The sequence below is a fragment of the Homo sapiens genome, chromosome 10, assembly GCF_000001405.40.
Source record: "Homo sapiens chromosome 10, GRCh38.p14 Primary Assembly".
In the NCBI taxonomy this organism is placed as follows: Eukaryota; Metazoa; Chordata; class Mammalia; order Primates; family Hominidae; genus Homo; species Homo sapiens.
The window spans coordinates 104,789,042-104,815,664 of record NC_000010.11 but is presented as its reverse complement, the minus strand read 5'-3'; the positions used below and the strand labels follow the sequence as shown (position 1 = coordinate 104,815,664).

Below are 26,623 nucleotides of genomic sequence, written 5' to 3'. Positions count from 1 at the left end.
CTATTTAGTATGTCATTGTGGAAATGCACATGGGTGCATTTCCCATGTGCACAAAAGTATATGGGTGACAATCAAGATAGAATAATATTTTTGAATAATTAGGAGTGTGGTGAATTTGTATCTCAATGTCAAATCTTTATTTATATTTAAATGTGCCCGATAATGTTATGCTCCAAGATACCCAGTGGGTGACTTTTTTTTTTTTTTTTTTTTTTTGAGACAGGGTCTGGCTCTGTCACCTAGCCTGGAGTGCAGTGGTGTGATCTCGGCTCACTGCCACCTTCGTCTCCTGGGCTCAAGTGATCCCACCTCCTCAGCCTTCCTAGTAGCTGGAACTACAGGCGTGTGCCACCACTTTTGTATTTTCAGTAGAGACAGGGTTTCACCATGTTGCCCAGGCTGGTCTGAAACTTCTGGGCTCAAGGGATCCACTGGCCTCGGTCTCCTGAAGTACTGGGATTAGAGGCATCAGCCACCGCACCTGGCCCTGACTTTCACATTGTTCTTTACAGTGGTGATAACTGACTGTAAATCTCTGGGGTTTCACTGACAGAACAGCAGTAATCACGCACAGGTGTCCTCCTTCCATCAGTGCTGTTTGTCTTTTCTCCTCCTTCAGACTGCAAGCTTCTTGAGAACAGGGATTGTGTCTTCCCTCTTCCTCCACTTCTATCCACAGAGAGCATCTTTGAGGCTCTCATTCACACACTGGGGCTCAGTTAGGACTTGACAATAAAGATAAACAGAAAGGAAGGATCCTAACTACCAATTATATTTGTAATATATAATAATGTGAGAAGACTTAAAAATGGGAGCTGAAGTACAAATAATTAGCTTGCTGTGTTTTATTTTGGCATAGGTCTTGAAGCAAATAAAATGCTCTCCACATCCATTAATTAATAAGTGGTATCTACTATGTCCTAATGATGCAAATGATAAATTTGACCCAGTCCTGCCCAACCTCCAGAGTATTTCACATTTAGTCAGTTAGATGTGTAAACATATTATGACAATATAATGAGAGTGTCTGGGAAAGCGTGAGGTACTGTCAGTGAACAGAATTTGACAATCAGGGCAGGCTTCCAGGAGGAGAAATTGATGTCCAAGTTGAGTTCTAGAGGATGAATAGGGGTCTGACACATAGAGACATGCATTGGCGGGAGATAGGAATGGAGCAAAATTCCAGGGAAAGGGGACAACGTCTATGAAGGCACAGAGGCATGCTGATCAGGAATGACAAAGACAGTTGAAACATGGAGTCTTAGTTCAGGGTTGCTGAGGGTGAGTCAGTGTAAAAGCTGGGCTTTGGAGGAGGGTCTAGTTCAAATATTTTGCATGGCATGTGCCTTTGGAGTGGGAAAGAAGAGCAGGAAGATCGGAGGGAAAGAATATAGAAAAGGCTAGTAATACTACTCACTGCAGGTAGGAAGAGAGAGAGGAAACAGAAGGCAGGTCACTGAACCCCATTTTCCACAAAAAGGAAAGCTGATTTAACTCCCCCCTTGTGTCTTGAGACTCCAAACACTGCCCATTCCACTGCTGTGAGTGACTAGCCCCTTAGAAGCTATTCAGGTAAGAGATATTCTAGAAGAGCCTGTGCATGATTAAGAGATGAGAGAACATATACGAATTTCTACTTAAGTTGCAAAGTGACTCTGGAATAGGGGGAAAAAAACATAAGTCTTCCTAAACTATTCTTAAAGACCACACCCCCTGGCAAAAAAAAAAAAAAAAAGAAAGAAAAGAAAACTCCCTTAAATATACTTCATCAGTGAGATAAATTTTTTCTTTGCCCAGAGAAACAGATTTTAGAATTTCCAAAATGATCACGACAATGGTGGAAGAAATTTTTTTTTTCTCAAACCCATGAAAACATTATCGTCCTGGTTACTATTTTCATTTCATGGAAGAGATAGATTATTTTTCTTTAAAGTGATTCTTGCCAGCCCCTGGAGCATCTTCAGTGGGATCTTCTCATTTGGCGCCATCAGCTCCAACCAACCCATGAAGAGAGGCTAAGGGGTGTGGGACAGGCCATTAGACCCAACGCTGTAGAGCAGAGAGCCACCCTGTTCTGTCCTATACATGCACCCAGCACACTGGAAATGAGTTGCTAAGGCTACGGTAAGGAAATGACCCAGGTTCAATCCTTCCACAAATGTTACTGAAGCCCCTTCTGTGATCCCATCACTGAACTGAGTATGTAGATTAGTATATTAGTACATAAAACAGGCCAGCCCTAAATTCATGGAGCATAAAATCTAGTCGTAGGGGTGACTGAGTCTTGTAAACTAAACAAAAAAATAAATATATAATCTCTAATTGCAATGAAGTTTCCTGAATTAGAGAATAATAAAGTGAGGATACCTTTCACAATGTGAAGTCACAAACACCCTTAGCAGATGATGAACGGGTCGTGGGAACTGTCTGGTCACTTGAGGAAGAGCAAAAGGAAAGGCACTGTGCTCACAGGGAATAGCAGCAGTGAAGGCCCTGAAGCTGAAAATACTTTGGCACATTTAAGAGACCAAAGGAAAGTCAGGGAGCCTGGAGGGTGGTGGATAAATCTGAGATGAAGTTGAAAAAATGGTGAAGCAGGCCAGGGCCCAGTAGGCCATGGAGTAAGAAAACTATCCTAAGATGATTTTGGAACTAAAGACCAAGGCCCTGTGTTTTGAAGTTAGAGCTGGGGGCAAATTGCAGTGCCACAGAAAAGAAATAGGTGGGCTCTACATTCTGATTCTTAAAGACTTAAAATCCATATACCCATGATCCACCCACAGCATCCCCTTCAAGAAGGACATGGGGATGAAACTGGTGCATACTTCCTCCAAATACTGCTCTGGTTACCCTTTGAGAGCTTTTGAGCTCTACTGGCTCTGGATGTTTACCTTTCCAAGCTAGACTCCACAGCACTGCCTTGCTGTCTACTCATCCAGCCCCTGCTTATAGCCCACACTTAGGGCCCAAGCTCCACCCAGGCCCTTAAGAGTAAAACCTGGTTCCAATGGGAAAGGCCCATTAGGGGCTGGAGTTTTCAGGTTAAAGTCGCCCCCATCCCTGTGTGTGACTACCAATGTATGACTCACTGGAATATTCCAACATTGTGCATTGTTATTATTTGAGGAAACAAAGCTTTTTATTTTTGGAATCGCCAGCTGGAAGTAGAGGTAGAAAAGGCAAAGGAAATAATATTTGAGTAGAAGAGGTTTTGTTTATTTGCTTTAACTGAAATAATACAACAAAAGCTAGGTCTCAGTTTGTCTACTATTTTGACAGGATTCATAAAGGAAACAAAATCTTGGAAATAACTAAGGATGGACCTAACTAGTGAGGAAGTGATCACTGGGCTAAGGTGTACTGCGTCCTTACTCTGACATTTTAGATACGCAACTGCTGGAATAAGGAAACAAAATCTTGGGAATAACTAAGGATGGGGCCTAGCTAGTGGGGAAGTGATCACTGGACTAAGATGCACTGTGTCCTTACTCTGACATTCTAGGTGCGCTACCACTGAACAGGAGAGTTCTCCAAGAGAGATGGAAATCTCTGTCTACCCTTCATCTGGATCCTTTCAGGGTGCTACTACCAAGTTATTTTTTTTCTCTTTGGCATTTCCATTTATTCATTCCTCTTTGTTTTTTCTAGGTTGTCAATTCCTTTTATTTTTGTTTATATAAATGTATGGGGCACACGTATAATTTCATTAGATGCATAGATTGCATAATAGTCAAGCAGGGCTTTCAGGGTATCCATCACCCAAATAACATATATTGAGACCAGATTGATGTTTTCTGATGCACATCTCTTGGCAGGCCATTCCTTTGTTCTCAAAACATCAATCATTTCCCTGCCTGCAAAAGTCCATAGCCTTCAGCCGAGAATGTAAGGCTGTCTGCTATCTGGCTGCCACCATCATCTGCCCTGCACCGCTCCGCTAAATGAGCCTCTGGTCTCTGACCTGACTCCCTGCGTATGAACCTCTCCCCATGAGATGCTGCTCTTGGCTTACTCCAGAGCTACTTCCTCCCCATCCTGCAATGCTTATCCTAAATTCCAGTCCCTTTCTAGGGATCTAGTGACTAGGACAGAAAGCACATATCTAGGCAAAATTTGTGGCTCTGCCACTTTTCAGCTGTGTGACCTTCGGCAAGACACTTCACTTAAGCTCTATAGCTTCCATTTCCTCCTGTGTAAAATAAGTGTGAAAGCTCTGCCTCACCAGGCAACTGTGAGGAGTAAATGAGGCAAAGCACTGTGTTCCTTCATGTCTCCTGGCAAGTTCCCTCTCTTCTCAGAAACCAGCCTCAACTCCCTCAGGCAAGTTCTGTTCTCTTGCATGTGCAACTTAGAGTAATTATCCTGGTGGTGGTTGATTGTTTGCAGGTCCCACTCCCATGAAGCTGGGACCTCTTTGAGAACAGGCACTCAGGTTTTTCATCTTTGTATTGCCAGGAAATGAACAAATGAATGAATGTGTAAAATATCTGGTCCAGTTCCTGGCACACGAAATGTACCAGTAAATATTTTCCCTTCCTATATGGTACTTTTAATATGTTGTTTTGTGTTATAATTATTACGTGCATGTCTTATCTCTTTCCCTGGATTTTAAGTTCCTTGAAGCAATGGGCTTTTCTTAATCATTTTTAGAATTTTGTTTTTTAAATTTACATACAGTACAATTCACTCTTTGTGGTATACATCTCTATGAGTTTTGAAAAATGCATGATATTGTGTAACCATCTGTCTCAGACATTTTTATTTCTCCCTAGGCACTATCGCTCTATAAATGTTTACTGAATAAATGAATAAGTGAATGAAGGAAACAATAAATAAACAAATATTTGCTAGGAAAGTTTCCACAATAGCCACCCAGATAGTTCTCAAGGCAAAGAAAATCAGATGACAAGTATGTAACTGCTATACCACCTTTCAGCAAAGTAAATTCCCAATATCTATCGGAAATCTTTTAAAAACACTTATACCCTCTGGCCCAGTATTTCCACTTCTAAGACTATGTACAGCAGAAATAATCAGATGCCCACATGATTTAGGTTTCAGGAAGGTCATAAAGCATTATTTATAATAGCACATTATCAGAAACAACATAAACAGCCAAATAATCATATAATTAAACTGTACTACTTAATATGATGAGACTGAAATTATATTTCTACATTTTACTTTACAATATTGAAATGTCTACTTGTATAATGTTAAGTGTAAAATGCAATCCATAAAACAGTACATATACCATTAACAAGTGTTTAAAAAATATACACACTATATGATGACAATGTTAAATATAAATCTTTATATAAAGTGTTCATCTAATTTTACAAAATAAATGTACACGTATGTTAACATAATCTCCAGTGCGTGACAGGCCATTTCTGTTTCCCTCACTATATGTTTTCAGATTTTCTAATTTCTTACAACAGATACTCCTATTTCTTTTATATTCAGAAAAAAACTATTATAAAAATAGAGGTGAAAATCCTTTATTTCTGCTTTTAAAATCTCATAACCTTTATTTCATCTCTAGATGACTCAGTGGTGGCTAAATTTTAACATTCAAGATGTGGCATATGGCTCTGCTTAAACAAGAACATGCTTTCTGTCGGAAGCATGTTCAGAAATAGTCCAACCCACTGGTGGGTGACACATTTCATGCAAAGCTCCAGGAAGCAGCCCCTATCCCAGGGGGCTGAGGCTTCAACATGGTTACATCAGGAGAACATCAAATAAAGGACACTGTGTACAGTCTGTGGCTCGATGAGCAACTTCACTTTCACCACTAACAGGCTACATGACCATCCTTAACCTCATATGCTGGGAGTACGTTTTATTCATTTCTGTATCCCCAAGCAACTAGTAGAGTAGCTATCCCACACAACAGACGACAAAATAATGCTCATTAAATGAGGATGGAGACATCATGAGTAAGAGCTGGAAGGTGGTACAAGATGTGCTCTAAACTATAAAGCAGTCCCGCTTGGAGAACAGGTGTGGCCAACTGCAGCAGTGGCCATGATGTCACACATTCCTGCAACCACACTCATTTCCTGTTGTAACTTGAGCTTCAATCAAGAGTCAATCACCCCAGGCTTTAAATATAGGTTGGCGTTTTACTTGTTTTGCCCAAAACAATATGACAGAAACAATGGTGTTACAGTTCTGAGTCCAGGTCTCCAGAGACATTGCATGTTTCTACTTGCTCTTTGAGAACCATGCCTAGCCACAAGAACAAGCCTGGGCTAGCCTGCTGGAGGATGAGACACATGTCTGGCTTCCCTAGCACCCCAGCTGACAGCCAGCCAACCCCCAGGAGCAGGGCCAGTTAGCTGGCATGGGCATGACTACAAATGTATGAGGAATCCCAACCAAGACCAGAACAACTGATCAGCTGAGCCCAGCCAAAATTGCCAACTCACAGAACGCTTAGGCAACTAATTAAGACACTAAGTCTTGGGAGATGAATGACAAATAGGCTATTTCAGCTTTTAAATCCTATTTGTATATCCTAAAGGTATCTAAAACTCAAGACATTTGAAACTGAACCCATGTTCTACCTCCCAAAACCTCTACTGTTCTGTGAATGGCGTAACTATCCTTCCCATTTTATATGACAAAAAATGAAAAATCATTCTTAAATCTTTCCTTGCTTTCTCCCTCATTTTACTATAGCCAACGCAATCAATGGGTTGATTTTGCCGTCGAAATATTTCTCAAATCCATTTACTTCTATTTCTATCACCAGCACGTCTTCAAGTTACCAGCAGTCCATTTCTGCTGTGTGACTTTTGACAGGTTACTTCATTCTCTGTTCTCTGAGCCTCCACTCCCTTAACTGTAAAATGGGATAATTCTAGTATCTGCTTCATAGGATTGTGCACATCAAAGTATTCAGTAGAATAACTGATGTAAATACTCAGTAGATGTTAGTTAATTTACCTTCATAAGATGGCTGATAGAGCTTCTTCATGATGGGCTCCAGTCTCCTTATCTACTGATGGTTTCCACCATCTCATTTACATGGAAACAACTGCAAATTGCCTTTACTCAATGCCTCATTCTCTTTTTTGATTCCAGGCCTTCACACATGTTTTTCCCTCCATCTGAATGTCCTTCCCATCATCCATTACAGGTGAATGCCTATCCTTCAAAACCCAAATCATACATTTACCTCCATATTTTCATTGTTCCCTGTTGCCCCCATTTAGAGTCAGCCATTCCTTTTCATGCTATCTCTGTGCTCTATGCATGCTTCTCCTGTATTACACATTATACTAATTTATTTATTTCTATCCACTATTTTCTTGTTTACTATTTGAAGCAAAAGCCCTGTCTTTACATCCTCAGCCCCTAGTGTCCAGAATATAGTACTTGCTAAATAAATCCTTGGTAAATGGATAAATGAAGATCCACTCTGATGTCCTTCACCAACTCACAAAAGCAGAACGTATCCTGCTTCTTCTGCTTCAGAAGTCCTAGTTCTGTTGGTGCCAAAGCAACTGGCAACCATTTGGAAAATATTTGCTCTCACTCCCCCCACCCAGATTCCAAATTCCAGTTCAAAGCCAAGTGCCTGTCTTCCCGCCAGGGCAGCCCACAGCTTTACTGCAAATGTTTCCCTCAGCTCTCCCCTGTGCATAACCTTAGCTATATTATTTACGACTGTGAACACCATAATATACATTTAAATATGCTGTAAAGGTCAGACAACTGAGCCATACCCCTTCCTGGGAATCCATTTCATATCATGGCAGAGGCAGGCCTTCCAGCCCTCACTCAAAACCAGATTTGAAAGTAAATTACGAAGCCTTTTTTTCTGGTGTGAGGACAACTCCCTCATGCATCACATTCTATGGAATCATCGCTATAAATCCATCTGTTACAAGCTGGGAGAGCAGCAAGTGTTGGAAGCCACAGAATGATTTTAGCTTTTGAGCTGTCACCCTCATATTCAAGAAGTTCAACTACAAAAATCAGCCTCACGTTTCAAAAAAATAAAGAGAAAAGAGGTGAAGAAAGCACTTGGAGAATGGATGCTGCTCCACCCTCCCCCACAACCTGAGACGCTCTAAACGTAGGATTCTTAGACTTCTAGAAAGCCACTCATCTCTTTTCTTCTTCCAATGTCCTCCAGTTTAGTAACCTCTATTTTTTACCTTGCCCTGATAGTTCATGTTTGTCTTAAATTTAGAGGTTTTAAGAACTCTTAAAGGAAATGATTAAATGGTAGATACTCTCTCCAAAGAAATATATAATGTATTCACATAAAAATTTCCACTTCATATCTGGGTGTTCATGAATTCCTCAAGACCTCTCCATGGGCCAAGGAATCCCCAAACAGAATGTACCATATTGTCACTCAGCTGAAAATGGAATAAAAAGTGGTATGTTTTTGTACAAAATGCATGTGCATGCGCACGCATGCATGCACACACACGCACACACACACATGCGCACACACACACAGAGAGCAAGGAGCTTAGTGAAGAGATTATAAAGAGCAGACCATTTCTTAAAAGCAACAGTCCACAAGGGTCTGAAAATGCTTCCTGGGAATCCACATCCTAGATTTTCCCAGAGGCATTCTGAATGCAAGAAGAAAACATTTGGGCTACATTAGGATGTACTCTAAAGAATCTGGTTCTTCCCAAAAATTCCCCAAGGTCCAGAAAGTTTTCCAGAATGTGTCATCATCCAAAATGGAAAGGGAGATCTCAACAGCTCAGACTAAACCCTAAAACGGCAAACACCCCTTAGTTCTCTTCCATGTGTTTCATTATGAAAACCACAAAACATCCAAGATAATTTGTAGGAGAAAGAAAAGGTCACCCATAATCACACTAGCCTCTTACAACTGTTCCTATCTTTATGATTTCTTTGTAGTTGGACAAAATGTAGACCTTTGTACAGAGTTAGGATCAAGTACATATACCATTTTAAACTACTTTTTTGTTGACAACTAACCTATTAATATATTCTCATTTTTCCACAAAGCCTTCAAAATGGTCATTATTGTTATTATGAAACAAAACTTACGTTATTTCCCTTTTAATGTGTTTTTATGCATTTAGCATATTTTCAGTTTTGAACAAGTCCCTAGGATAAATTCCAAGGTGTAATATTACTTAGTCAAAGGTAATAAACAATGTTGTGGCTTTGGGTACATCTTGCAACGTTGGCTTCCAAAGCAATTGTTTTGATTTACAATGCCACTACCATGATTACTCTCATGTCACCCCAACTGAAGAGGGTTCTAGAACTTACAGCATCATAAGTCACATTCAGAGACATTATGCTGCTGTTTTTTTGAAGCCACTATCCATAATCCTATTGTGTCACCTGTAACTGGTCTTCAAACTTCTCTATGCCTAAACTTACCCTCTGGGCACAAAGGAAGGACACTCAGAGGAGACAGCTAGAATGGTGGAAAGACGTAGTATAGGTTAGTCAGGAATATCCTGTTTAGATTCCTGGCTTTCTAAATTACTAGCCATGTGGTCTTAGGAAGGACACTTGGCCTCTCTGTGCTTCTGCTTTCTCATCTGGAAGCTAAGGATAACTTGGCTTACTTTACAGAAAGTAAAAAAGTGGCCAAAAATATTAACCCCCAAATATTCCAAACTTATCTCCCAACACTTGCTCCATTCCATGGGCCTCATAATGCAGACCAGGATGATCTGTAAGAAGAGAAGCAGGATATCTGACATAGGGGTTTACAAAATACTACGACTTACACACGCAAGAGAGAAAAAGAGAAAAAGAAAGAAAAGAATAAGTAAAGAGGGGAAAGCAAGAACAGGAAGAAGAGAGTTTGTGCAAGGGTAGAGAGTGTGAGGTATGAAGAGAGGAAACCTGGAACCACAAACTGAAGCATGAAGAACATGAGAAGGCTGGGAAATGACAGGAATTGAAGGCAGGGGAAATGTGAGAATGGGTGCTGTGGCTTTTACTTGCATCAGGTCCCTTCCCTACTCTGGATGTCCCTAGATCCCACCATCAAGAAGAGTAGTTACAACTGGTATCCATCCTCAAGCCTTGTCAAATTCTATCACACACCACTTGGAAACTGACATTTCTCCCTACTACCTCCCATGGTAAATCCTGACTCCTCAGGGTGACTCTTTGGCCCCACCTCCAATTTCATGAAATTGACTCCAACCCACCTTTTAAAAAAAATGTCTTCCACACTCTTCTAGCCAAAACCACTTTCAAACAACATGTGAAAATTTGAGATTTCCTAACTATTCCTTGCATTTTTCCATTTCTGAGCCTGTGCTCATGTTCCTTCTTGAGGCTTGGATGACTTTCAGTCACCCTCTCAAAATTAGTCAAGCTATTTCATGTGGTTCCTCCTCCATGAAAGCTTCCCAGGCCCTTCAACTGGAATTACTCCCATCCTCTGTGTTCTCAAGACAATTTGCATCTGCATCTCTCCTATAACCCCAATAACATTCTCATTGTATTAGTTATTTGTGTACATGTCTCCTTCCTTCTACTCAAGGGTAAGCAACTGAAGTGCAGGGTCCATGGCTTATGGCCCCTTGATGACTCACTGAGTGACAGATGGGTGTTCATTATGTGTGAGTGAGGTGTATTAGAAAGCTGAGTCAGTTCTATGCAATATCTGAGAATCAACTAAGGGTGACACTCATCGTTTGTCTTCTCTCATGGATCTACTTATCTAAACTCCACTTATTTGAGTGACTAGATAACATCAATGCACAAGTGAATGAATGAAACCTCAGAGTATCTAGCTAGAGTCCACCCTTTCCTAAGGCACACAGGAGGCTCACACCAACCAGCCAGTCCATCACCAGTCTTTCCAGTTGAAATCAAGTAAGTTTGCCCAACTCATGCCAGATAATTTGGCATCTATTCTGGTTTCCTAAATGGTATCAAATCTCCAAATCTTATTCTATCTCTGCCAGGAGTTTTGTTGACTTCTGAAGATTGAATATCAACTTTCAAAATAAATGCATTAAGATCCTACTTCCACGATGCAGCTCAGCTCATGGAACAGGACTGCACTATGCCCTGGTTGATGGGTTTTACTGCTAACTGTGTGACAGTGGTAGAGTCACTTCCTCTATCGTGGCCTCTGTATCTTTGCAATGCAGATAACCATAGCCACCCTGCCTACTCCCAGGACTACTGTGAAGAATATATAAAATCATGCAAGTGAGGGCACCTTACCAAAGTATCAGGTAGAATAAGGAAGGAAGAAAACTAACATTTGCTTTGGGCCCCTCCTATGAAGCAAAAATCATGAAACTTTCAACAACCTGTTTCATGCTCTCTACAATTCATATAGTCAAGAGTTTCTGAACATGAAATGTAAGGCTGGAAGAACGAAATTCAAATCCTAATTTGGCCACTTAGTGGTCATATGGCCTTGGGCCAGGTTCCTTCATCTTTGCAAAGCACCTGCCTCCTCATCTTCAAAATTCGCATTCTAGAGATGCTCATCTTCTGGACACTTGTCAGAATCAAGTGAGATGATCCATGTGAAAAAGCTGTGGAAATTGAAAAGCCCTAAGAAATTTCAAGGTATTATTAAAATAATAGAACCGTTTATGCCAACAAGGTAATTAGAGGAGGCAAAGGATGATATAGCTCCACAAACTTGTGAATAGAAACCCCAAAACAGTTCTCCAGGGCTGACTTGGGTCTCAGTCTTGTGTGGTAAAAGAGGATGGGGCTGGTCTTTCTCTGGAGCTTGAAACAGCCTTTAGTAGGGAGCTGGAAATCCCTGTGACAGCAGTAAATTTAGTCAAGAAAGGAAACCTTGGGCCCTGGAGGAGGCAGAGGACTCTCCAAGGAAGAGCTGGAGGAGAAAATGATCAGAAAAATAATACTGCCTTTCATGAGAACCCAGAAGTAAAAAATGGGGTCACTCACCTGCAGTGAGAGCTTGAGTGAATAAATGAGCCTGGGGACTCACATAGAAACATTAAACGCATTCCCTATAAACAGCAACCCAGAGATAGCCAGAAAGGGAGAGTGGCAATAAGGGAGAAGGGAAAAAGTGCTAGTGATGGGCAACACACAGGATTATAGAAAGTGCTTACAGAAGTGATTTTCAAAAATATTTCAGCCCAGGAAAACCTTCTTTAAGGGAAAGTTATGTGAAAACCCAATGCATAATACAGGTAAAATCAAGGTGAGCTGGTTGAGGAGAGGTTTGGAATCCCAATGCTCAGTGCTCAGCCCACAGCCTCTCCATTCCCCTACAGGCAGCTCCTGAGAGAAATCTGAGGAACCCTAAGGGACCTCACAGCAGAATCAGAAAGCCACTGACTTAACAGAGTCTTGGGATCTGTAACAGAGACTACCAGCTCTCCTCCCTCACCCATCCCCTCTCTTTCTTTTAGAAACAGAACCACTTCTACCAAATTTCAGTCTCCATACAGCTACAGACTTCTCTACTTTCCTTGTAGCTAGAAGTGACCATGAGTCTAAGTTTTTGTTTGTTTTGCTTTTTATCCAGTGAAATGTGAGTGAAAGTGACACATGCAATTTCTGAGTCACTTCATTAAAAGAAATTTCTGTCTCCCTATCAGCATGCATGTGACAATGAGTAGCTTCAACTATGTGAAAAGGACAAACTTAGAGGGTGGTAGAGCAACAAGGTGGATGAAGCCTGGGTCTCTGGATGACCTTGCGGAGCAGAACTACCTCCCCTCTCTGGACCACCCATCTACACCTGGACATTGGAGAGAAAGAAATCTCCATATTGTTCAAGCTTCAGCATTCTGGGTTTCATGATAACAGAAGCCTCGCCTATGCTCCAAACTAATCAGGGCCATAGGAGGGAAAGAGAAAAGAGTGAAAAAACTCAATTTGGTGTCTCCTACTCTCTATGCTCTCTCTCCAAGATCTCTGAGCACATGACTCCAGGCCCCACTACCAGAATGGTGACCTCTTTGATGTCCAAAAGTTGTCCATAGCATTTAATAGCAACAAATTCTGTTTATGTTTCATTTTTCAGGGAACCAGATTCTGTAGATGCTCAATAGGTCTTAACTGGACTCTTGAACCACACAGTGGTGAAACTGAGTATCTTTCCTCTCTTTGTTTTTGCTCCATCCAATCAGGAAGCCAGATTTCATGGTCCTACACACTCCCCACTTTCCCAGCTTTGCTGCTTCCTGGCTATTCCCAGGATAAGTCAATTACTTTTTTGGGGAAATCATAGCCTAGCACCTCTTTCTGTAAATTCCAAAGAGATCCATCAGTTCAGGTTTAAAAGTATTATCTCAATTCCAAAAACTATTACAAGATTTTGAAAAATCAACTTTGTATAAACCCTATAAAATCTCATCTTTGTTGTGGCTGCTTTTCAACTTTTCTTTCTTGCTATTTTCTCATCTTGATTGCCTAATAAAAGCAGAATATGGAGATTTTAGGCCCTCCCTTCCTATCACCTGACAGTCTCCCCATCTCTTGGCTTCAGAGAGCCAGAATCTTTGCAAAACCGTTGTTAAATTCTAGGTCATTACCGAAAATAATGTTGAGGTGTATAAAATAAACTTAATGCCTTAGAATATAAAAGCTATTCTAATCACTACAACTAATTACCAAGAAGAATGACTCACCAAAATATTTTAAATGTCTTAAAATATAATAAAGTAAAAAGAGAAAATGTGAGCAATTGCTTAGTGAGCTGGCAATGGGAAGTAGGTCTCAGAGAATACAATTCCCATTTTAACATCAAAGAAGCCAGGATCTTTCAGAATCATTGTAAGTTCTATTCTTATCAGTGTTTAAACTTAAGACCTTCAAAAGTGGTAGAAATTTCCAATTTTTTAACAGATCTGAAGCTTGCCCTTGCTGTGTACTACAATGACACTGTAAGAGTTTACGTATCTGTAAATTCATGTAAGATTTTGGTGTAAGAATTAAATGCATCCCTCAATGCTTCAGTTCCTTCTTTCGGGCCCTGCTTCAAAACATACATCCCTAGATGAAAGTCCTAAGATGTAAAAATCATGTCAGCAACAGATCCATATCTTACCTTCAAAGATCCCATCTACACTGAACCGCAATGCATCATTCATTCCCACACTCATTCAGTCCTCACTATGTTCACAGCAGCATGAGTGACAGGCTCAAAAGGGATATTCACTTCAATTGAGCATTCATCTGTGGCTGGTGGGGAGCTGGCCCTTTAAGAGAGGTGATATTTTTACATTCCTCAAAATTACACTGATAAGTAGACATTCTTACTCCCATTTTACAAGTGAGGAAATTATAGTTCTAAAAGGTTTAATAATTTTTCCGAGGTTATAATCAAAGATCTGTTGGGCTGCAGAGCCTGCCCACTCCCCTACGCTGCCTTCCTCTAAGAGAAAAGAGAAAGCAGAAAACTAATAGAAGTGACTGTGCCCTAACTTAGTAGCCCAAACTTCCATATGAAATAGGCCCTCTTGATTCCCCCATTTTCACAGATGAGGGAGTCTGGGCACAGAGAGATTAAGTGACATTCCCTAAGTCACACCAACAATGAGTGGCAGAAATGGGATTTGATCCCAGGCCATCTGACTGTGCCCCTTACCATTTACAATAAAGCTGCCTGTCTATGCTAGAAAAAGTGAACATACACACATGGAAAAAGAGCAATAAAATAGTGACTGATTTCTACAAATTTAGGAGAAGGAAGACTCAGTGCTGACTAGCTAAATAATAAAACACTTCATAGAAGCAGCAGTTTTTAAAACCAGTGATATAAAGAGAGGATCAGCCCAACCATCAGGGAAACCAGAAATGGAGAAGGTGGGATGGGAAGGAAATGTGTTTGCTCAATGATCTGCCAGTGACTGAATCTTCTCACACAACAGTTCTTAGCCATCCATGTGTTTAGGAATCCTGGGGAGCTATTGTTTCAGATGCAGGTTCCTGTCACCCTTTTCTCACTCCACCCATATTTGGATTCTCTAGGACTAGGGCTAAACTATGGAAGCTGAATTTTTATTACTATTTTCAGATAAATTGTATTTTCAGCAGAGTTTTAGGTTCACAGCAAAATTGAAAGGATGGTACAGAGATATCCCATCTACCCCCTACCCGCCTCCCCAACACACACACACCCTCCCTCACTTTCAGTATCCCAGCAGCACCAGGGTGGCACATTTGTGACAATCAATGAACCTACACTGACACATCACTACCCAAAGTCCACAGTTAACATTAGGGGTCACCCTTAGAGGTGTGCATTCTTTTGGTTTTGACAAAAGTATAATGACACTTACCATTGTAGAATCGTACAGAATAGTTTCACTGCCTTAAAAATACTCTGTGGTCTGCCCATTCATTCCCCTCTCCTCGCTAACTACTGTTAACCATAGATCTTTTTACTGTCTCCAAAGTTTTGCCTTTTCCAGAATGTTTTACATATATATATATATATGAAATCATATGGTATGTAGCCTCTTCAGATTGGCTTTTTCATTTAGTAGTATCTATTTAAAGTTTCTACATATATTTTCATGGCTTAATAGTGCATTTCTTAAGGCTTCCATCGTCTGGATGTATCACAGTTTATCCATTCACCTACTGACAGGAATCTTGGTTGCTTCCAAGTTTTGGCAATTATGTATAAAGTTGTTATTAACATCCATGTAATTTTTTTGTGTAGACATACATTTTCTTTTTTTATTATTATACTTTAAATTCTGGGCCAGGCACGGTGGCTCATGCCTGTAATCCCAGCACTTTGAGAGGCTGAGGCGGGCAGATCCCGAGGTCAGGAGATCAAGACCATCCTGGCTAACATGATGAAACCTCGCCTCTACTAAAAATACAAAAAAATTAGGCAGGCGTGGTGGTGGGCACCTGTAGTCCCAGCTACTCAGGAGGCTGAGGCAGGAGAATAGCGTGAACCCGGGAGGCAGAGCTTGCAGTGAGCCAAGATCGCACCACTGCACTCCAGCCTGGGCAACAGAGCGAGACTCCATCTCAAAAAAAAAAAAGTTCTGGGTTACATGTGCAGAACGTGCAGTTTTGTTACATAGGTATACACGTGCCCTGGTGGTTTGTTGCAGCCAACAACCCATCACCTACATTAGGTATCTCTCCTGATGTTATCCCTCCCCTAGCCCCCCAACCCCCAACAGGCCCTGGTGTGTGATGTTCCCCTCCCTGTGTCCATGTGTTTTCATTGTTCAACTCCCACTTATGATTGAGAACATGTGGTGTTTGCTTTTCTGATCTTGTGATAGCTTGCTGAGACTGATGGTTTCCAGCTTCATCCATGTCCCTGCAAAGGACATGAACTCATCCTTTTTTATGGCTGCATAGTATTCCATGGTGTATATATGCCACATTTTCTTAATCCAGTCTATCATTGATGGACATTTGGGTTGGTTCCAAGTCTTTGTTATTGTGAATAGTGCCGCAATAAACATACGTGTGTATGTGTCTTTATTGTAGAATGATTTATAATCCTTTGGGTATATGCCCAGTAATGGGATTGCTGGGTCAAATGGTAATTCTAGTTCTAGATCCTTGAGGAATCGCCACACTATCTTCCACAATGGTTGAACTAATTTACACTCCCAACAGTGTAAAAGCGTTCCTATTTCTCCACAACCTCTCTAGCATCTGTTGTTTCCTGACTTTTTAATGAATGATTGCCATTCTAACTGACCGTGAGATAGTATCTCTCACTGTGGTTTTTATTTCTCTAATGACCAGTGATGATGAGCATTTTTTCATATGTCTGTTGGCTGCATAAATGTCTTCTTTTGAGAAGTGTCTATTCATATCCTTTATCCATTTTTTAATGGGGTTGTTTTTTTCTTGTAAATTTGTTTAAGCTCTTTGTAGATTCTGGATATTAGCCCTTTGTCAGATGGATAGATTGCAAAAATTTTCTCCCATTCTGTAGGTTGCCTGTTCACTCTAATGATAGTTTCTTTTGCTGTGCAGAAGCTCTTTAGTTTAATTAGATCCCATTTTCAATGTGTTTGGGTAAATACCAAGGAGCATGAGCACTAGATTATATGGTGAGTGGATACTTAGTTTTGTAAGAAACTACCAAACTGTTTTCCAAGGTGGCTATGCCATTTTGCATTCCCACCAGCAACAAATAAGAGGTCCTGTTGCTCCATATCTTCATCAGCATTTAGTGCTGTTATTCTTTTGGATTGTCACAATTCTAATAAGTATGTTGTGCTATCAAATTTGCATTTTTAAAAAGAGCTTCTCTGTGATTGTTATGCAGATGACTTGAGGCTTTGAGAAATATGGGGTTTATAGAAGAAAAAAAACCCACCCTTCACACCAGCTTCCAGTTTCTTACATGAATGTTACCAGGACTGATAGTCAACTGGTACTCACTTATACGGCCACATGAGTTAAGATACTGACATGCTCCAAGGCTCATTGGTAACAAGCCATTGCTCCAAGTTCTGCATGTATCCTACCACCACCCAGGCACCCCAGAGCTGTACCTTAGAGCTCCCACCTTTCCTAATATCCTGTATCAAAGGAGCTAAGGCTTGGCACTGAGAGAGTCTCAGGACCTGCTCCAGCTACAGCCAGAGCCCTTTCTAATTGATGAGTGCCTGAGTCCTTACTAGTTATTAAATATTTTGAAAATCACCCCTGAAATTACCTTATGGGATTATGCACCATCTCCCAACCTTCCCTGATGACTAACAACACTTCTGGGCTTGTTAGACTTATGATGAGGCCTCACTCTCAAAAATGCTAATTCAGTAGCTCTGAGCTGGGACCCAGAAAACTGCATGTGAGTATGTGTTTTTCTTTATTTTGTTTTGTTTTCAGCACCCAAGATACTTTTTTTCTCTAATCTCCCAAGATTCTTATCTTTGGAAGTGTCTTGCAATTAAAAGGGAGGGGGACAATATTTCAACTCAGGCTAGATGGATTTTTCAAGAAAAAGTTAGCTAAGCATGGACTTTGGATATATAGAGATCAGTCTTGAGATGTGAAATTCAAAGCCTGGTCCCACCTTACCTACTGTGTGACTTTAGGCAGTTTACTTAACTTCTCCAAAGCTACCTTAGACATTGCTCTAAAGATTAGATGAAATAAATGTGTGAGGCACATAGTAGTCAAACAATTACAAACAATATTGTAAGTATCAAGCACATTTATGAACTGTCTCTTTTAAAAAAAAAAAAATCAGCCTTGATTCAGATTCAAGGTTTTGCTACTCTCCAAGCAGCAAAACTGGCCAAGGTTGGCTGAGCAAACAGCTTGGCTTCATCAAACCAATGGCAAATGTGGCTCCTATTTATTTATTTGGTGGGCATCCAAGCCATATCAAAGCTCGTTGTAAAAACCGTATTTGGAAAAAATACTTACTCCATTTTGATTTAACAAACATTTACCTCAAGTACTATCATTAGTCACTAAATGTTTCATTTTATAGACCTCTTACCTAGGCTAATTATTCTTTTCTGTCAATTTTTAAAACTGCAAATATTCTTAGCCCCGAGTCTTGCATTGTTCTAAACCAAGGAGGAAAAAAATGGGAAATGTCATCTTTCAAGGAATTTCATCCTTCTTAAAAGCAGAATGATTCTTGAGAATCCTGGCTCATCCCATGTCATTAGGGATGAATGCCACCTTGTTGTAAGTGCTAGGCTGCAAAGAGTAGAGAAATGGGTAGATAATGAAATTACTGAACACTCAAAGTGTCAGAGACTGACAGGCAAGGGCCATCCATCACTGATTATATGAGGCATTTACATGCCGCTTTCCTATCCAGGGACAAAGACTTCAACAAGAATAGTAAATAGTCTGGAGTGTGTCTGTGCAAAAAACTAATAATTTAATGAACTGACAACCAGCCAATACCCTGAAAGTGTGGTCTGCCTCTGCCCCAGAACTTGTTTTACACCCAGGAACCTGCCTCTTGAATGATACAAAATGGCAATGTTTCCAAAACTTAAATTATTCATGTGCCACCTTCTTCACAAGCTACATTTATGTAACATGTATACTAAATTTGATGTACTTATTTAAATTGGCTATTCTTTTTTAACTATAATTAATTGACTTTAAAAGAAAACTGTATATTTCCAACAAAATGGAAAAACAGTATCACCTGCCATAAATGCAGAGTAATCATAAAAATAATTGTGAAGCAGGGAAATGAAGCCATTAAGGTCTAGTCAATACTGCTCCCTGCTATGGACTCTGAGCCTGAAGTCTGCTCTTTTCTTTCTGGAAAAAAAAAAAAAATGGAGATTATCAACTTAGGAATGTGTTAAAGACACTCTACCCTAAACTCAAATTTTCTCCTTGATATCCTAAAGGGATTAAAAGCAAACTGAAAAAAGATGAATTTGCTCATCAAATGAGCCAGTGCTATTTATTATCATATCCATGTTCTAGATGAACAATTCTTACACTCTGGAAAATACCACTTAGCGTTCTAGCTACAGAATGTAAAGCATGGACAGGCTTTCACAAATCCGGAACAAACTATGGAACTCCCAGGCCCTACCTATTAAACCCAAATGTGAGAACACAACTGTGCTCTACTCGTCTGGGAGACAACTCATGCAATCCCTCTTTGAGGACTTTCATATGAAGTTACTTAGAAGTCATGATCCTTTTCTCCTTTTGATCCCAACATGAAGGTGCAGCCAAAGACACATGACAGCTCAGGAAGGTTCCTGGGTCCAAAGCAGGGCAAAGCGCTCTGCTAGGGGGCATATGACTCACAGTATGGAGAAGGCTAAAGTTGGTAACTAGAGTTTTAGATCAGAAAGCCAAGATCAAAGAATCTTGGTTGCAGGTGGAACATGGAATTGGTCAAGTCAGTGGGAATCAAATTAGATTGTACCAAAGTCTAACCAGCACCAGGATAGCTCCCTGATAGGGTACCAAGAATTGATCATAGAGGATAACTGCAGCTCTTCAGCTCCCATCATCTCTGGTCTCTTCTGGCCACCACCAACTCCAACTTAGCGGTTATCAACAAGAAAGCTACTGCCCCTTAGGGGGCATGTGAAAAATCTGACAGGGTGCTGAAATACCGGATTTAGTGACAAGGCAGGAATGCCGATCATTCTACACCATGTTGTACCATGAAAAATTGTCTGACATTCCACACAGCTTGAAAATATCCCACAATACATTCTTGTAGGGAAGAACCTGTTTGTCATGAACCAAGCCTATGACCTAAATTCATTTTACATATAAAGCAAAAAATATTTTTGTATAGTGTTAATGGACTGAATTTTCTAGGAATACAAATACTATGTAGATTAAAGGAAGATTAACTTATTCTATGAAGAACTTTACAAAAAACTATTCACCATTTTTTTAAATTACATAATAAATGTAAATGCCATTCATAGTGTTTGAACTGCCAATAGCACACATCTGATCGATCAGTCTGCCTTTATAGCTCTTATTCATGGTGATTCTATATATAGGAGGAACCATCTGATGACTTCGTTATATCTTCAAGTGTAGCCATACCCGAGTATTTATTGAAATGTATACTATTTTGTTATAAATTACTCCCCTTTTATTTCTGCTTCATATTATAGTTAGGGCATTATGCTGATTTTAATTGTGTGTGTAGGAAAGTTACATTGTCTTTGAATGTCATTTCAGTATTGTCAAGTGAGTGTTTCAAAATATTTGTTATAAAAACGGGAAACTGGGTCTGATATACCTAAGAATAGAATGCTAAAGAGACCAGCTCCTATTGTGCTGGTTCTTACTCATCTCCATTTACCACACTGAGACCATCTATGGCTTTTCTTAGGGTAGAGGAAAGCAGGCTACTCCTCCTCTACAAGCTTTAAGTGAGTGTTGGGCTACACTATCCCGAGGGAAAGGGTGTTTACGCCAAGGAATTTGTTTCTGATGTGCTTCCTCCTAAATCTTGCTACCAAAGAAGTCTCTTTGCTGTGGCAGCAAAACCTGTGAGAAGGCATATGCTATATGTTTCCACTGAAGTAACCTTCTAAATCTCTTCCTTTTCTACTATGCTGGATAATATTCTCTCTCTCTCTCTCTCTCTCTCTCTCTCTCTCTCTCCCTCCCTCTCTCTCTCTCACACACACACACACACCCTATCTACCTTGATATCCCTCCTTGATTGTCTGTTTAAATCCTTCTGATGGAGGCTCTTCTGGTCCATTTCCCCTGGATTACTGTAGCTCTTCTTCCTCTGGGATCCTGAAACACTCTCTGCTCCATTCCACAGGCATCTGCTCTGGGCCCCAGCACTCCCTGTATTGCTGTTTGTCTTTCCCATCCACAGCGGCCACTTGGCTCTTCATCACTTTGGCTTCATAATAGAAAAAGCCCCAGCCATCAACTCTTGAAGGAAAACAGGCTCACTGGGGAGTATCTCATTCTTCATTCCAGAGAGCTGAAGAGTGACACACATGCCATATTTTCCAAACCAAAAACCTGGACACGAGGCCTGACAAAAATACGGGTATAGAGTCTGACAATAGTACAAAGTATTTGGAATCGTGACTGCTCCAGAAATTCAAAGATGAATGACCCTGTTGGGGAGATCTTAGAAACTCTTCAGAGGAAGCCACCAAAGACAACAGCAGCCGCCTGCGACTTTCCTCTGCCATGAAAACTGAGATGAGAGAAAGGCCAGTCCCTATTCTCCTAAAAATCTGCTGGCCTCTTCTCAGCTTTGCCATCACTGACCTGCCACACTCTGCCTCTTAAATTTTGGTCATTCCCGAAATTCCATTTTAGCCTCCCACCCCATTCCATTCCTGAGAAATTTTGTTGACTCTGACGGTTTCATTGCCACCTAAATGCTAGTAGATCCACAATTTCCACCTGCCATCCAGATGTCCTTCTTCACCTTCAGACCTATAAATCCATTTGCCTCCTGGAAGACACCAACCTTTAGAACTACAGGTATACTTCAATCATATGTCAAAATTATACTCATTCTTCTTCCTTTCAGCTTGCTAAATAATACACTTGCTGCTCTGTCTGTGTCACTGTCCTGGTTCATGGTGTCACTGTGCTTCCCAGCATGTAGAGAAAAATACTAAAAGCCATATTACTGACCTCATTGTTTGCCAACTCATTCAATCATTGCTAAGTCCTAACAATCCCATCCCCTGTATTCCCACAACTTCAGTCCAGATTTCCATAATCTTCTTCCTGGAATATTGTAATACCACAGACCTCAACTTATTCTTTCCTTCTCACAGCACCCACCCTCCCCAACATCCTACCAATGTCACCCTATTAAGACACATATTGTCAAATTTCATTTTAGCTCCCCAACAAGCTTTCAATAGTCACGCACAATGCATAAATTCTATTATTTTCTTTCAACCATAAAAAACTAGAAGTATTTTAATCCAGCAGACCTGGGATTGAATTATAGGTTCACGGGTTACTGGCTGTATGACCTTGGGCAAAAGGAAGAATATAGACTCATTATTTTAATTACCCTAATTGTAGAGTCTGTGTATTTTACAGAGTTCAACTTCCTATTCTGCTACTCTAAGTGAAAAAAAAATAATCACCTCTGAGATCGGGTTGTGTTATCTGACATTCAAAATGACTCAATTTTAAAGTGACAAGAATCTCTTTTTCTCAAAAATTGAGATAACAATGCTTATCCCAGGTTTGTTGTGATGATGAAAATGGGAATCATACTTGCCTGATTCACATTCCAAGGCTCCTCTCCTTCTTTGCCCAACCATAATATTGGTGCAGTGAGACCACTTATCAAGGGATAAACTTGGGAAATCCATGACCCCAAAATAACTTAATCTTAAAGTAAGAACACAGACATTGTGTGAGACTCAAGGAGTCTTCCTGGGGAGGAAGAATGAGACTCCCACAGTCTTCCTGGGGAGGAAGAATGTGAAAAAAAATAAGTTTGATATACAACCTACAAAAATGTAGGAAGTTAGAGAAAGTAAACCCACGTAAATCCAAGTCATAAGTTTTATGAAAGAGGCTTCTTTCAAAAAATCTTTCAAAGAAAATAATGATAGTAAAGTAGAAGAATTTTAGCCACCTTGATACCAAGAATACTTAAAATTTTACTTCCCGAAGCAGGAAATGTTCCAAAGACCATAAGGATAAATGTTCATTGCATTTCTTCTAACTGCCAGAAATAGTGCAAGCGCTATGAGCAATCCAAGGGGAATAAAACACTCATTGCCTTGAAGGACCAAATGGTCTTACAAAGTCATTAACATGCTTAGCTAGTGAAGCAAAGCAGAATGGGATACGGCCTCAAAGAGGGACCAACAATGTGGTTCTGAAGAATGAGACTGTAAATGGCCTCAAAGCTGCACTGGACAAATAGGCAGCAGTGAGCCAGGTTAGTGTGGAAGCCCTACTACAGATCTTCCACCATCTCCCTACCAAGCCCTACTGCCCAGAGACATCTACCAGGATAGAGATGCATGGTGTTGTAGGAGTTTGTCAGATAACTGTCTTTCCCAGGCCCTGAGTTTTGAATTCAGACCAGAACCACCCCAAAAACATGAGTTTCTCTTGCAAAGAAGGTAGACACTGGCCCAGGCTTCCCTCTATACTTATGCCTCCAATCTAACCCCTTCTTTTCTTTCTGATTTTTTTCCAAAATAGAAATATAACAACTCTGATCTTGGCAAAAGATTTTTAACTACTGACTTTGTTAGGGGAAAAAAAAGAGGTACATAAAACATAAATATCAGCTATGACCACCCTATCTAAAGATTCCCAATTAAAATGAGCTCCCAATTTCCCAGAGTTGCAGAGAACCCTAGATGATCCTTAGGGGTCAACAGAAGAACTAATTTTTCTGTTGAGAATGAACCCTCTTCATTCATAACTAATCTGCTTATGAATGGAGAAGCACTGAGGAGACAGGCCCCATGATTCTGTGTGCCTGTGGCTGCTCCAGCTCTAGACCATCTCAGAGAAGCACAGGCACCTTAAGTCATCCTCAGTCATCCACACTGCAGCCAAAGTGAAAAGGTGTCAGACATCAGCATTCCCACGCTCCAAGCTGAGGGCTAAAGGCATCCTTAGTCCCTGCAGAGCCTGAGCTTCACTTGAATACATAGCCTGATTCTGCTGAAATTTAATCAGAAAGAATGTTCACAATGGTTTATAAGTTTACACTCCACTCATCACCACTGGGCTGCCATCAACTAGAGAGCTCTCCTGAGTGGTCTTAGATCCTTGAACCTCACCGAGCCTCTTTTAAGTCATCTGTTAAACACAGGCAATATCTTACTTGCATAAAGGCTGAACCCGACAGCTTCCTAAGTTATCTTCCAGCTCTAACCAACCTGCACAGCAACCAGGAAAAGGAAAGGCTGTTTGTCGAGTTCAACAAAGGACTGACTTAAGCTAAGTTTCAACTGATATGTTTGTTTACAGGGCTCTGAATCCATAGCACCTCCAGCCATCTGAGCCCAGGGTCAGCCTGCCCCAAGATCTAGCCTCCCATTCCACCACAGGCCCCCTCCTCGGCTTTTCTAGCCTTTCTCAGACATACACACCCCCACTGGCCTTGCTTTGATCATTCTTTCACGTTCTTTCTTTAGCTCTCAGTGAACCCTGGAAGTTGCATTCCCAACTATGGGATTAAGGCTACCTCCAGGTTCTCCCAGCCCCACTTATTCATCTGTGAAACAACTGGCCAAGGGAATGATGCTGCTTGTAGACTATCAAATAGAGAGAGAAAAAAAAGTGTTGCCTGTTTTAGTCCTTATGCAAAGCAGGAGTGTTATCTTATAAAGTTCAAGTAGTCATGGACCTCAATTTCTTCATCCTTAAAACAAAGAAGAGAGGGTTGAGCCAGCTTCATTCAATAGTGATTGCTCATATACTATGCAAAGAACTGTACTCAATTCTGCTAAAGGTAAATGTCATTAGCGTTGAGACCATGTTTTGCTCATTTCATTATGTCCCTTTAGCACTGAGCTTGGCATATACTAAACAGTAGAATAGCTGCTGAATTGTCAATCACCAACTCACAATCTCTGCCTTCAGAGAGCTTATACATTTTTAGGGGGAAAAAAAACATGGACACAAATAATCATCACCAGAATAGAAAGTCAGCACTAAGAGACAAACAATGCAACAGAATAAATCTTGGAGAGAGATTTGTTTTCATCCGGAGCATTGGAGAAGACTTCAGGGAAAAGGTGATATTTGAGCCACTAGATGAGAAAACTGCTAAACTGCAGAGATGGGACCTTCCAATGGTAATCAATCCACCTGGGAGCTCCAACTCAGGACCAGAAGGTTTTCTGCCACCATCTGGAAAAGGATCTCTACACTTTTTCTTCCTTTTCTCTAACCACCTTTCCAATATGGCTGACTTTTTGTTTCCCCTCTTCTCTTACTTCTCCATCTACTGAAAACTCTTACCAGGAAGTGGTTTGTTAATGTTCTTCCTTTCTTTTTGTCTGCCCTAAGTTAATGCGCTTCTGGCTAAATACTTGAATTTATGCACCTTACATTATCTTTTCAGCACTGTTTTCAGTAATTTATAGGAACCAGGGTCTGCTGCATCATGTTATTTAGTACTGTGGTGGCTTTTAGATATGGTCTGCACCTTGGTGCTTCTGCACGGGGAAAGAAACAGTTATAGATCCTGGACAGGCTCTCCTGCTTTTGTCCTGGGGAAGACACCCCTGTATAGGTTAGTTACTGAGAAGAGTTATGGAGGCATTGGCACAGAATCCTGAGTCATTCCACACCATTAAGAAAAGACAGGCTGAGGAAGAGAAAGTCCTGAATTATCCAACAAAGTTGCACACTGGGACAGCCAACATCCCAGCCAGCCAGAAAAACCAGGCAGGGGAAACAGTGCCCCCAGGATCACACAGCCAGAGGTTCTTTATGTGAGGGTGGGTGGTGGCAGAGGGTTTGGAAGTAGGACAGACAGAGCCCATCCCCACATACAGCTACACTTTCAAAGAACAACAATTTTTCACTGAATGCATATCAAGTTTTTTTTCTGACTAAACATTGTGCATCCATTGCATCCATTCATTTATTTTTGAATTCATCCATTCATTTACTTTTCTTAGCAATTGTAGTTTTTACATTTCCTGTCAGAGAACTACATCCTGAGAAGAGGGTCTCCCAGTTGTAATGTTAGAACCCAGTAACACCCTGCCTGACTTGGGTTTTCCAAGAAAAGCCCAGGGAGAGATGTGTTAACCTCTGCCCTGAGTGGAGAGATGAATAAATCCCTGCCCTCCAGGAATCTGATGTCCAAAACAGGAGACAAGATGCCTTTTAAGGACCTTGAGGCTAAATGCACTCAGACGCAAATAGCTGAGCTGCCTCTGGCTATCCGGTCAATTTTCCTCCCATAGACTCCCAGCACCAATGCCCAGGAGAGTGCTTTCTGACTCACAAGGCACCTATCAGATGCCCAAGGCTGGGCATTACAGAAGGAGGACAGGACCTCTTGGAAATGTTCAAGAAAGGCATTTAGAAGCCTGGACCTTGAACAAGGTATGAACTGCAGGTATTTTTTTAAGCTGAATTTGACTGTTTTCAAAAGGGACACACCACACTAGTCATCAAAGGCCTCACCACTTCTCACTTGCTCCCACTTGGCCATTCCACACACAGAGATTATCTCTTTGACTCCTGCCCCCCTCACCCT

At 40.8% G+C, this 26,623-nt stretch overlaps 1 protein-coding gene across 1 annotated transcript in view, besides 2 other annotated features; it reads right to left on the bottom strand.

The window, feature by feature from the left end:
* SORCS3 (sortilin related VPS10 domain containing receptor 3) overlaps positions 1-26,623 on the bottom strand; it is a 623,953-nt gene that overhangs the window by 449,578 nt on the left and 147,752 nt on the right. The gene's annotated exons all lie outside the window — the stretch shown is intronic.
* Positions 5,491-6,690: an enhancer, noted in NCBI's record as "P300/CBP strongly-dependent group 1 enhancer chr10:106568733-106569932 (GRCh37/hg19 assembly coordinates)". NCBI's record gives its function as "activates an origin of replication core promoter dependent on BRD2, BRD4, P300/CBP, MED14 and CDK7 cofactors, with strong dependence on P300/CBP, by STARR-seq in HCT116 cells {active_cell/tissue: HCT116}" and the evidence as "EXISTENCE:reporter gene assay evidence [ECO:0000049][PMID:35650434]".
* Positions 5,801-6,324: an enhancer, noted in NCBI's record as "OCT4-NANOG-H3K27ac hESC enhancer chr10:106569099-106569622 (GRCh37/hg19 assembly coordinates)". NCBI's record gives its function as "activates a minimal SCP1, AML or CMV promoter by ChIP-STARR-seq in primed H9 embryonic stem cells {active_cell/tissue: H9 hESC(primed)}" and the evidence as "EXISTENCE:reporter gene assay evidence [ECO:0000049][PMID:30033119]".